Raw genomic sequence first — 14,093 nt, forward strand, 5'->3', positions numbered from 1 at the left:
TTGGTGGATTCCATTATAAGAAAGTGGTATATAGAGAGGTTTGATCCTTAATATTCTGTGTCACACACAAAAGATAACTATGTGAAGTGATATGATCATCAGTTCAACTGTGATAATCATTTCACAATGTATACATATACCAAAACATTACAGTCTACACTGTTATTATATGCAATTTTTGTCAACTGTACTTCAATAAAGCTAAGGGGAAAAATGAAACTAAATTTTTCTGAATTCAAATATGTAGCATGTCATTATAGAGTTTGAGCAATTTTTTTTAGCTTCAACTATATCGCTCATATTCCCAGCTATAACAAATATTTAAGGGAAGACAGAATAACTTGGCTGGCTTTGAATTGCTGGAATATTAATATTAAGATACAGTTAGAAAATAAACTCTCAATAGAATGGAATACTTAGTCTTTCTGATGAAATGGATCTTACTTAATTTCATTGATTTTTGAGGACTGGTATTCTCCTTTTTAACATATTTATTTTTATAGAGAAGGTAAGTCCATCAATCATAAATTAATCTTTAAATTTCATTTACCTTAAATATTTAGATAACAACAAGGCATGGCATATGATATTACAGTATTTTTGAGAACATTAGAACACACAAGAAATCCAGTTACCATTTCAGCACATCAAGGTGTGTTCTCTGCGTATAGCCAAGCACTCTTAGTGCAGTATCAAATATGGTTTTGTACAAAGGTTACTAAATTGGATTTCAGGACACAGGACATTGATTTTCACTTCAGAGTACCACTTCTCTAGACCTCGAGGTTCTCAAATCCAAAATGAGAGATTTGGACTAGATTATCTATCATTTTTTTTTTAGCACTAAAGTTACTTCCAAGTTTAATCTGCTTCATTTATTTGATCGCTACACACAATCTTCCAATGGGAGTAGTTTACCTTGAGTGAATTTTTGGATCAATAAGTGAGACTTTAATCAAGCCCTTATGATACACAGTTTCTTTCAAGTGTCTTAATTTGAGCTTTGGTGGAGGTCATTTAAAGCTCTGAGTATCTTGCTTAATATATACATATGTTAATTTACTCTGCACCTTCCCTATGTCTTGCAGGTCTAAAAAGTATTCTTTATTGGGTGGAAGCAACTTGCTTATCTCCAATGTGACAGATGATGACAGTGGAATGTATACCTGTGTTGTCACATATAAAAATGAGAATATTAGTGCCTCTGCAGAGCTCACAGTCTTGGGTAAGTTAGTGGCTGGAGATGAGTTTATATTGTACCTTTCAAAGTATATCACCGCGACATTTTAATGCTCATCACTGAATTGATTCCTATGTTTATTAGTGTGAAATTGCAAAGTCCCAATACTCCACACATGTCCTTGCTTTGCTCTGATTAATTGCATAGGGGTTATATGCAATGTTTGAATACTTATTAATTAAAATCCAGATATATTATGCTTTAGTCTAATTATTCCAGTGATACAGCTGAAAAGTACCAAAAATTATTAATGGCAGATGTGTTGAATAATAAATATGATATTACAAAATATCTGGGAAAATAAATGAAGGAAAATTGTACAAAATATTTATCCTTGAGGGGAAAAAGGCAGATGTTATTTGAGATGACAGGGTTTCTGACATTAAATTCAGTATGTTGGTAAGATTTTTTTATTAACATGGGAATACTGTGAGTGTTGAAAGTGAACCATTAAAATAAAGTATATGTAAGGAAAAGTTGCATAGCAAGAATATAATTTAAACAGATTTAAGGAGGATTGAGGGGTTCATTATATTCCAAAAGGCAGGGTTACCCATGTGTCATTGCAAACAAATAATTCTTCTACATGGCAGTTATTCAAACAAACACATATTTTTATCACTTACTCCAGATTTATTTTAACCAGTTTTATTTGAATTATGTAGTTTGGAGAAAGTGCCTTAACATTTGGATTTCAGTTGCTTTTTTTCTGTAACAACAACCAAACATTGAATCTTAGGAATTTTTCCTCTGGAATAAATCTTTTTGCCTTTTAAAGAATCTCAGAAAAATCATAGTCTATTTAAAAGTTATTAAGTAAAAATGAAAATATATCATATGCTGATTATATTTGCTAAGTTATACCATGATATTATTCCATCCATTTTGCTTTTTGTCTTCAAAGGTTATTCAGAAAACACTTTCATCTGTGGACATGGTAATAATGTATATCATGGGTTAGATAATGACGTTGCTTGTTCTTTGATCAAATCATAAACATTAAACCAGGAATGGGCAAAAGACTTAAACCCTGGATTTAGAGGTAGTATTATACTAACTAAAATATTAGCTGCCTTTAAAATGGCACAGTTTAATTGAGTCATATTTCATATTTTGGTGAAACAAAGAATAGAGAACTTTCACATTTGTAGTATCAAAATTCAGTAACACAAAATGGTTATGATGGAAATTGTATTGTGCTGTATATTACTGATTATAAGGCAGATTTGGTTATGGAATACGCTAGAATTTACACTGGTCATAGGTAAAGCATTACTTGCATGAGGTCAAATTTTATTTCAAATTAATGCACATTATTTTGACATGTAATGGTTCGTTGATATCTGAGATAAACATATGCAAATACTGATTTCTGGGGATAAACTAAATTAGTCTCTATATATATACACACACACATATACATATGTGTGTGTATATATACATATACATACACACACACACATATACGTGTGTGTGTATATATACATATACATATATACACACACATACATATGTGTGTATATATACGTATACATATATATGTATATATAAACGTATATGATATATACACTATATATGGATATATATACATATATATGGATATATATTTTGTAATTTACACAATTCACAAAGAAAAAATGCCAGTATGAGTATGCCAATACATATATATACACATATATACACACATATATGTGTATATACACGTATATACGTGTATATACACGTATATACGTGTATATACACGTATATACGTGTATATATGTGTATATATACGTATATATGTGTATATATGTGTATATATACGTATATATAGGTGTATATGTACATATACACATATATGCACATATATACTTATATGTACATATACACATATATGCACATATATACTTATATGTGTGTATATATGTATTGGCATACTCATACTGGCATTTTTTCTTTGTGAATTGTGTAAATTACAAAATAGATGCTGTTTGATACATATAAAACTATCCAAAGATGCACAAGAAAATATTTAATAATTATTTCCACTACAGGCAGTGCATTTCTATACCTCTGAAGTGAATACTTTTGGTATCTTGGCATGTTTTATTCCATAAACTTCTCATATTTCATTGATGCACATATGCCCACATAAAGTTTGGTAGTGGTATGACACTTGGATGCTTCTTTGATTTTTCCTTAGGCCAGATGATTAGTCTCTATTACAATACCTCTAGTGAACCTTGACTAGTGTTATTATGTAAAAAATATTGAAAATAAGCATCCAAAAAATGCTCCACATTACTAATCATTAGAGAAATGTAAATGAAAACCACAATGAGAACCACCATCTCACACCAGTCAGAATGTCTATTACTAAAAGGTCAAAAAATAACAGATATTGCCGGGGTTGTGGAGAAAAGAGAAAGAGAATGTTTATACACTGCTTGTGGGAATGTGACTTAGTTCAGCCATTGTGGAAAGCAGTGTGGTGATTCCTCAAATAACTTAAAGTAGAATTACTATTTGACCCAACAATCCTGTTATTAGGTATATACTCAACGGAATGTAAATCATTCTACCATAAAGATACATACATGCGTATGTTCATTGCAGAACTATTCACAATAGTAAAGGTATGGAATCAACCTAAATGCCAATCAGTGGTAGACTGAATAAAGAAAATATGGTAAATATACACCATGGAATACTATGCAGCCAGATAAATAACAAGATCATGGCCTTTGCTGCAACATGGATGGAGCCATTATCTTAAGTAAACTAATACAGGAGCAGATCAAATATGGCATTTTCCTATTTATAAGTGGAAGCTAAACATTGAGTACACATGGACACAAAGATGCAAAGTGTGTCCTTAGGTACTTGATGTTTAGTTTCCAATGTGGGACACTGGGGCCTACTGAGAGTGGAGGGTGGGAGAAGGAAGAGAACCAAAAAACTATCGAGCACTATGCTTATTACCTGGATGACAAAATAATCTGTACACCAAGCCCCAGTGAGATGCAACTTATCTATATAACAAACCTGTACTTGTACCCCTGAATCTAAAATAAAAGTTTAAAAAATTGACAACATAAATTAACGTAATATAATACAGTTAATATGCATTAGTAATTTAATCTATGTGTACACATGTATGTAAAACATGTACATATGCACACATGTGCGTGCATATTTATATGTGTATATATGTACATATATGTGGATAGATATACACATAGATATATTAGAAACAGCATTTACTGAGTTCAAACCATGTGAGACATTTATTTGTTACAGTATCCTCTGTGGGAAGTACGTAGGTCGAGCCCATTAGATAACAACCCTCTTGCCTTCTGTGCTTCTGTACCAAGTGAGAAACAAGAACAGCAGTAAGGCATAGGGTAAGTCAAACATCACCTTAATTTGTTGAAGAAGCTGCCGTTGACCATGGTTTGCATCTGCATGGGAGGCACATGCCCATCTGGACATGGGCAGTGTCTATATTGGCAGGATGTCACTCAGGTGTCAGCTTGTCCCACTGCTTGGTGGCTGGTGGCAATGGAGAGCACTTGCTCTCTTTGGTCAGGCCTGTTCCCAAGAGAGAATTGTAGGTGAAAGGAGTCTCTTCAAACTTCCAGGCTCATTAAGTTATCTGTCATGTATCCTGATCCAGGCTCCCCTCAAACCAAGAAAAAGTGGGTACTGGGGAGTGGTGAGGTCAGAAGTCATTCCCTCGAGGAGCTGCCTCTCTAGGGAAGAAAATATCAGTATTGAGGCAGAAGTATTCAACATCCACACCCCAACCTTAGGTGCTACTTTTAATCCCGTTTTACAAACGAAGGCATTTTAGCACAGAAAGATAAGTGGCTATCCCAAGGGGGGATCCAGATCCAAATCCAGGCATCCGACCAAAGAGTCTTAGGCATATGCTTTACTGTCTGCCCTGTCTGCTCCACACATTCCTATTCATCGTTTTTTATTATTTATTTTTAATCTTACTGAAACAGCTATAAAAAAAAGCAGGTTTATGTGATGTAAATAAGAACAATTTTAAATTTTAGTTTGGTTAATAATTAGTCACTTACATAAAATAAAATACGTGACCGTAATGTAATGATCTTGACAAAGCAGAAAGGCTGACAGGGGAGCAGGGAAGAAAGGAATACAAGCTGTTCTTTGAAAATGAGGTTAAAACAACTGCCATACTTCGAATCTGTAGACACAGAGGCAGGTGAAAAGTGTACTCAATATCGGGTATTGCTTATTTTTTTTACTGTAACTTCTTGTTTATTCAAAGTGGTGTGCCGTTTGTATAATCAGAAAAATAAATGTGGAGGTATAAAAGTTGACATGTTTATGGTTTAAAAATGAGATAAATAAAAATGTTAAAACTCAGAAAATATTGAGATTATGCTAACATACACATAATCCAAAGACCTGGACTTTGCAAACACACACACACACACACACACACACACACACACACACACACACACTCACGTTTGTTTTCTCCATATAAGTGAAATGTATGCTATATTGTATCCTCATTTTCACTTCAGGATAAATCATGGCATCTTTCTTTGTGTGTGCCTGTGCACATGTCTATCTTCTCCAGTTCTAATTTTTTTTTCTTTTTGAGACAGGGTCTTGCTCTGTTGTGGCCTTGAGTTCGTGGTGTCAGATGATCCTCCATTCTCAGCCTCCCAAGTATCTTGGACCAAATTTGGCTATTTATTTTTTCTTTCTTTTCTTTTTCTTTTCTTTTTTTCTTCTTTTTTGTAGAGACAGGGTCTGGTTATATTGCCCAGGCTGATCTCAAACTCCTGGGCTGAAGTGATCCTGCCACCTTGGCCTCCCAAGGTTCTGGGATTACAGGCATGAGCCATCGCACCCAACCTTCAGCTTTATATTGTGGAACATTATCATGTTTCTTAGTTTTAATTAAGCGAGGTGTGGTGGCTTGCACCTGTAGTCCCAGCTACTCAGGAATCTGAAGGAAAGGATCTTTTGAGCCTAGGAGCTCTAGTCCATCCTGGGGAACATAGCAAGATCCTGTATCTACAAAAACAAAAACAACCCACTAAGTTAATTATCCTTAAGTATCTTTGTCATTTATTTGCTCATATCTGAAGGAAAAGTATCCCAGAAATACTTAAACCCTCACTGGCAGAGCAAAACTTTGCCTCCCTTCAGAGTGCATTTTCCCCCACAATTTTGAATATCTAAACATTTTATAAAATGGAGTCTCCTTGTAAGTATTTATATTCCTATTAAATTAAGATTTCATTTTATAGTTTTCTTGGACATTTGCATTTTACATTTTGTGAATTTGCTGTCTTTTTTGACCTTCATACATTTATTGAAACATTTATCCTTATTTTATTGATTACAGAAACTCTTTATGTAAGAATAATATTGACTATGTTGTGTATGCCTTTGCATTTTTACATTTTGCATATGGCACCAAATCTTTTTCTTCATGGTTGCTAGCATTGTCATTAGACTTACATTTTTATTCTATGAACCATGCTATCTCTAAAAATCTGGTTATGGATTACATGTTGAATGTTTAAATTAGAAGCATGATTAATTTCTAAAAAATAGTGATATGTTTATATTTTGAGTTTTCATGGTCTTGGTTCTTTTTGTCTGTTTTTAAGGGATTTTTTTTGGTAATTGGACATATTTTAAAGGTCTCTCATGGACTTTATATCATTTATAACTACTCTAGAAGGCATAATTTACTTCAGGATTTGGTTGATATGCTGTTTTAATTATTCTAAAAGGCTCCAAAAATGAATATTTGTATAATGTTTGAAATAATCTTTGACTACTCTGATATAAAGTTAGGATTATCCTGCAGGACTGAGTTTATATGAAAAATTGAATTTATTGCCTTCTTAAAATGGATGATAAGAAAAGAACTTTATTATCAATGTTATTTAAATTTACTTTTCATAATTTTTAAGAATTTAATCATATTTGTATTCTTCATAAGATAAAATCCCACAAGAAATCCAAGCTTCTGCTTATAAAACTTTAATCACGCATTTTATTAGACTCTTGTTTTGCCTTTCAACTTGCAGTCCTTTCTTGTACTTAACTGTCTGTGAATGTGAACCTTCATGAACTAACAGACTTTTCAAGTAGAATATCATTTTATAGACTAGAAGAAAAGACATTTTGTTGCCCTCCTCAGTAATTTTACAGAGTGAATATACATTAAATATAATTTGAAGCTTAGCATTTTGTTTCCTTCTTATAAAATAAAAATGGAAAATTCCATAATCATTAAGCTTTTTGGAGATATCTTTATTAGACAAGATTAATGACAACCTTATTTACAATAAATAAAATATAAATAAGTTCATAGGTATTTTCTTTATCATAGCCATTTATGGTAGCATTTCTGACTTACAGTAATCATCGATAAAGTATTGGTGGACACCTTTTGGGTACAAGGATTGCACTAGGTTCTGGGAAGACTACAGAAACATCTGAAACCTGGCTTCAGTGGGCTTCGTATAATTACAATTCGTAAAATCAGTTGGCCTAATACTGTCTGAATAAACTTTTATTTAAAAAAAGAAAAAACGAAAATGTTATATGTAAACAGGGACTCTGGGAAGATATGAAGAGTTGGTAGTCTCCACTCTCATAGAAAACAAAGCCCGAAGAGGCAGGGGTGGGAGGAGTCCTAAAGAAGAAAATGTGGAAGGAGGCTCTTGGAATATTGTTGTCAACTTTTTAATTTAATTTTAGCCATGACTACTTGTATTATTTATTTTAAAACCTAACTTTTATAAAAGAAGTCAAAAGTGGTATTTTTCCATTCTTATGTTCAATACGTCCAGCTTTCTGGCTCAAGGATTTTAATCTGACTATAATTGTGAACATATCCTTTTCTGTATCTGCCCATCCCCAACTTTTACCCAGCTCCACACAGGAAGAAAGACAGTCCTCCATAAATGTTCTAGAGATTTGCCACTGCTTTGGGTCTAGATTGATCCCATGTCTGAATCAGTGCAGAAATGCATAATTTAAAAAGTGATTTGATCTTTTACAAAGTGCCAGGCTTTGGACAAACCTTGTGTACTGTCCTTACACACACAGGTGGAGATGAGTGGGAACTTTACTGAGGATGGTCTCTTCAGTAGGAGCCATTAAGTTGAACATCAGTGAGAAAATAAAAATATCTTTGAACTTTCCAGAAATGGTTCTAGAATTCCCTTTAAAGCAGTTGTGTAGCAACACAAAAAACTTGTAATTGCCCTCTAGGAATGTGTTAAGTAGAGTTCTCTCTATAGAGCTGAGCATGTCCACCTTACACAGATGTGTTCAATAAGCCTGAAGATGATAGACTCAGAATATTTATATATAGATATAGATATACATACACACGTATATTTTTGTATATGTGCATACATATACATAAACATAGTATATACATATATATGCAATACATGCACTTACTCTCTATTTCTAAAGTTTCCCTTTAAACTTATTATTTTCTTTCAAATGCATATGATTATCTCAACCATTAAATGAGGTTCTGATTCTGCAAATAGATAATAGACTAAGCTATTCAGAAAGGTCTAGAAAAATCATCTTAAAAGTGATTTAAGAAGAGGCCAAATAAAGATATATGGGTGAAGTTAAATACCCCTGTTAAACATTATTGTTTTGTAAGATAGCTGGAAAAGTTCACCTTAATAGCTCATTGCTCAAAATGCTTTGGAAATTTTGAAACATATGGCTGGATATACGGTGAGCTAATGAATATAGTTTCTAGTCCTAGATATGCAGCTGAACCACAGTGTGAGTAGAAAACTAGCAACCAACTGTTGAGTGCCTCTTGTGTACTAAGCATTCCGCCAAGTAGTCTTTGGGCATAAGAAGATATGACACAGATCCAAGCCTCAAGGATAGGTAGGGAAAAAGACAAGAAGCAGGCAATTGCTAACAAGGCCGAAGAGCTGTTGAGAAAGAGGAAGACAAGGGACCCTGAATAAAGAATGCAACAAAGATGAGAGAATGGGGGAGGGAGTGGTGAGGGGAGAGTATGAGAATGGGGGAGGGAGTGTTGAGGGGAGAGTATCTGACAGGAGGTAGTAAATGTGCAAAGGTCTGGAAATAAGCGGGATGGGGAACGGGAAGTGAATTATGTGACTAAAGATTGTGGGTACAAAGGAATCTGATGCTGGATGGGAGAATCCATATAGGTCTTGAGTATTTTGCTCATGTGGTTAGATTTATCTTAAGGGCAGTGGAAACATATGGAAAGATTTCTGATTGTGGCTTGTGAGCTATTTAATTTTAGCCAGCTATGTAAACCTCTAATCTTCAATTCCTTCATTATTTTCTTCATATTTGTAGAGCTTTAGGAGCTACAAGTGCAGTTTTGTTACCTGGATATTTCCCATCATGGTGAAGTCTGGGCTTTTAGTATAACATCACCTGGATAGTGTACATCGCACCTATTAAGTAATTTCTTATTCGTTTGTAAAACAATGATAATTACTTTATCATAGGATTTGGTGTCCGTTTGAGTGTGAAAAGTAGAGGAGAGAGATTCCAGAATAATCAGGCACAGCTTTGGGTGTTCTGGGAAATAAAGTAATATAAGATCCCCTCCTAGCCTTCATGAGAAGCCTAAAGCCAGTTGGAAAGATTAAGCTAGCTAAACAAACCAAGACATCCCAAATGTCACAAATATTAAAATATTCTATGTACTTTTTCATATCCAATTATCATTATCTATAAAATGTACATAACAGCAACTAGTCCCTACGTAGTTCTCATGAATTATGGCGCGATTGATATAACAATATCTAGTGATCAATATAACAGTATCTAGTGATCAATATAACAATATCTAGTGATCAATATAACAATATCTAGTGATACATTGAAATTTCTTTGGCAGTAATCTCTAGAAACATAGACATCCCTCTGTGGGAAAAAGATGATGTCCATTTGTGATGTGTTTTATGTATTTCACTTTTTTCTGTGCTTCTACACCTTGCTGTTCATGCTTTCTTCACAGCTAGATAGGGAGAAACTTAAAAACAGAAGCCATGTCTTCTACATTTTGATCACTCAAACCCTTAGATTTTTATCTATGTTATCTGAGTTTTAAGCATAAGAAATGCAATTGAATGTGCATAAAATATAAATTATCTAACTTCCTATCGAAATGTTTTGTAAGCTTTCCATTGAGATTCATGATTTTTTCATTGACCACTGCAATGGACAGAATTATGTCCTTTCGAAATTCATATGTTGAAATCCTAACCCCCAATGTGACTGTATTTGGAGAAAGGCCTTTCTTTAAATGAGTAACTAAAATTAAATGATGTCATAATGAGGGGATGCCTATCCAATAGGAATAATGCCCTTTTAAGAAGAAGAGTTACTGGAGCACTCTCTCCACCCTTGCACAGAGAGAAAAGGCCATGTGAGAACAGAGAAGGTGTTGTCTGGAAGCCAGGGAGAGGACCCTTACTAGAAGCCAACTTTGCTGGTACCTTGATCTTGAACTTCCTAATCTCCAGAGCTATAAGAAAGTACATTTGTGTGTCTAAGCCACCCAGTCTGTTGTATTTTGTTATGGCAGTCTAAGAAGACTAACACAACTACAGAAAAGGTAGATGCTGTATGCGTTACAGAACAATCACTAAAAATAGAACAACTGCTAAAAAGATTCTTTGGTCTTTTTTATCAAAAGTGAGCAACAATGAAGACTTATATTATCAACATTGCTTACATATTGGTAGCACAAATAATCTTAGATTTCTAGGAGTGTAAAAAATTCCCATTTACAATAGCAGTGGATCAAAAATAATTGCTCATTTACATAATAGGTCTTGTGTAGTTCTTAGATCCTTATAAATTTGATGTCCTTTCATCTTATTTTTGTTCGCTATCATCCCTTTATTTAATAATTACTAAGTGTAAGGTATGATATATATTTTAGGTCTTATATTTATAAATGACCTATATCAATTTAATAGTAAATATATCATTAACTGTGATGAAATTGTATTCTTTTTTAAATCAATTCTCAGATATGCTCTATGAATTCAATTTACTACAAACAAGCATGTATATCTTCACACACCATCAATTCAGATTTGTTTGGAAATGGAAGAAAACATATACTTCAAAATTGATATGGCTTTTTTCCTTTTATTTTTTGCATAGGCTTTAATTTTATTTTTTACGGAACAATATGTGATATTAGCTGCTATTTTTTGAGCATGTATTATTGGCCAAATTTTACCTATCCATTTGCTTGAGGTTAGTGGTTCATCTACCTCAGACTTGGGTGTTCAGTCTCTTCCTACTTCAGCTTGCTGGTAGATCAACCATGTTGAGTTTTAGGTTTAGGCTCTTTGCCATAAATGGGAAGTAGTTATAATAAAATATGTTAAGATAATATTTATCTTTTTATTGCAATGTGTAATTCTTATTTTGAATGGAGTTCTTTTGAATTTACAACATCATTGCCTCTGCCTACGTAGCAGTCCTTAAATTTTACATATATCTGTAATTGCCCTTATTAACAGGACTCCTCAGTCATATACATTTAATGATAATAGTCATAAAAGAAGTGCCTTAGGTACGTTTGTATTGATTATCCTCTACAATGTAATTACCAAATGAATCATACTGAAATGAGTTAAGAGAGTTTTTGTATGTAGGGTTTTGATCCTAAATGTAGGATACAGGTGTGTAATATAAGGCAGAATTAAATCAAGAAAACTATTAAATCCCACCTATTAGGTGCTTCTTCCCATTGCTATGCAGATTACTTATCTTAGTTATTTTCCTCAGCTGAAACTCTGGTTGTCAAAAGGTATGCAAAATTAAGTGCAAAATATGTTTAAAAGATTCTGTTGAATATTTATATGAATTAGAAGAAGAGACAATGTAAGTTCAGACTGTTTGTTGGTAGCAAAATGATTCGTTATTTCAGTTGGGAGTTAGAACTGGTAATGGAAATACAAGTTGGATTGGTGGTAGGATAGGTTTATTTATTACACAAATATTTATTTGAGAGTCTACTGTGTGCTGGGCCCTCCCTTTCCTTTCTCCCTTCCACTGGAGAAAATAATGTGAGCATTGCTTTGCATATATTATTGAGATGATGATGAGTCTAATTTTTTCTTTCTTGGACAAATGAAGTAGAGGCCCCCGAGGGAAAAGCAAAGTCTATGTACTAATACAGACCATTAAAAAGGCAATCTAAGAATATAATTTTAATTATCCCTAACAATCTAAGCAAGGTGAATTGACAATCTGTGGCTCACAAGGAGGAGAACTGCTGACAGTGGTGGAAAGCTGCCCAAGAGGGCATTTTATGCTAAAGTTGCCCTGAAGAAACGGAAGTAGACATCATCCCAGAAGGAGTTTGACTCTGTGATAAGACTCAAACCACATTAGACAGAAATGTTTTAAACAAAGTCAGCAAGAGTTAGGATCAGTTATGGTTGCCAATTTTCAAAGACTAGGGAGCAATATATGCCATTTCTTCATACACTTTTAAATAAATGTTTTTCTGATTTTTTATTCAATATATCTTGGTGCAATCATTTCAGTAACTTTATGTAGTAAGGTATGGACTCATTTTTATTTTAAGTATAGTGTATTTGAGCAGGGAATCACCAAAGGAGTAGAATTGCTGGATTACCAAACAATGCTTGGTAATTTGAGGAACTACCAGATGGTGTTTTAAACCAGTGACACAATTTCACATTCCACCCGTGGTATATGAGTGTTTATATTTCTCTGAGGTTACAGTGAGTCATTATGTATATATGTGCAGGCAGGTAGAATGCAAAGAGGGAGATTTTTCTTATTTTTAAAACAATAAAATAATATATGACATTCTTGACTCAGAAGAAGATAGCAGTGAATGAGTTTTTCTTCTTCCTATTAGGTTGGTGCAAAAGTAATTGTGGTTTTTGCCCTTAAAAGCAATGGCAAAAACACAATTATTTTTGTACCAACCTACTACCTCCTCATTCCCTTCCATGTAAATGGAGGAACAATTCAGTTCCCATTTTCCACTGTAAGCCTTTTTGTTTAATGGACAATTTATGCTTATCAGTTATCTCCCCTAAAATCAAGAGCATTTGTATGATTGTGACTTTATTTGGTGAGACAAGGTCTCTCTGTTTCCCAGGCTGAGGTGCAGTGGCGTGATCTCTGCTCACTGCTATCTCCGCCTCAGTCTCTCAAGTATCTGGGGCTACAGGTGCACACCACCACACCTGGCTAATTTAAAAAAAATTTTTTTGTAGAGTTGAGGTCTCACTATATTGCCGAGGCTGGTTTTGAACCCCTGGAGTCAGTAATCCTCAGCCAGGACAAAGTGCTGGGATTACAGGCATGAGTTACCACACCCAGCCAATGTGACTTTTGTCTTAAATTCTATCCATACCTCTTCCTTCTGCCACTTGTGACTTTTTTTACTCCTCCAACCTACTCCAGTGTACACTTGAGGGTGTTATTGGGTAAGCGGCCATGACATATCATTCGGACTCTAAACTTTGTACAGTGAGCGAGTGACACCTAACCTGCAGAGTTGTTACCAAGATTAGACCCGGTGAAATAGTCCATGTTCAAGGCAACTCCAGCTCAGTGCCTAGATACACAAATACTTTATAAGTGGCATCATAATCATTGTTTTTTAATACATTGTTATGACACGCATTCTCCGTGATTACTCAAACTCAGAATAGCAAGTCTCATTCAGATCATGTGTCATAAGTTTGATGCTTGGCTGAGGTCAGTGACTCTTCATATCTGCTAATATTTTAGAAAAACTCAAGGTGGAGGAAAAAATCTGTGATAAAGATTCATACCA

General features: G+C 34.1%; 1 protein-coding gene across 5 annotated transcripts in view; it reads left to right on the top strand.

Annotated features, from left to right (window-relative positions):
* DCC (DCC netrin 1 receptor) overlaps positions 1-14,093 on the top strand; it is a 1,195,703-nt gene that overhangs the window by 583,949 nt on the left and 597,661 nt on the right. For 4 of the 5 annotated variants that reach the window (NM_005215.4, XM_017025568.2, XM_017025569.2 and 1 more), the window contains exon 5: positions 1,089-1,225. In NM_005215.4, the coding sequence (NP_005206.2) occupies positions 1,089-1,225 (137 nt within the window). Of the gene's footprint in view, positions 1-1,088; positions 1,226-9,396; positions 10,746-14,093 lie in introns of those variants that run through there. The other variant, XM_011525844.3, reaches the window with a different exon arrangement.

The sequence above is a fragment of the Homo sapiens genome, chromosome 18 (genome assembly GCF_000001405.40).
Source record: "Homo sapiens chromosome 18, GRCh38.p14 Primary Assembly".
Lineage (NCBI taxonomy): Eukaryota > Metazoa > Chordata > Mammalia > Primates > Hominidae > Homo > Homo sapiens.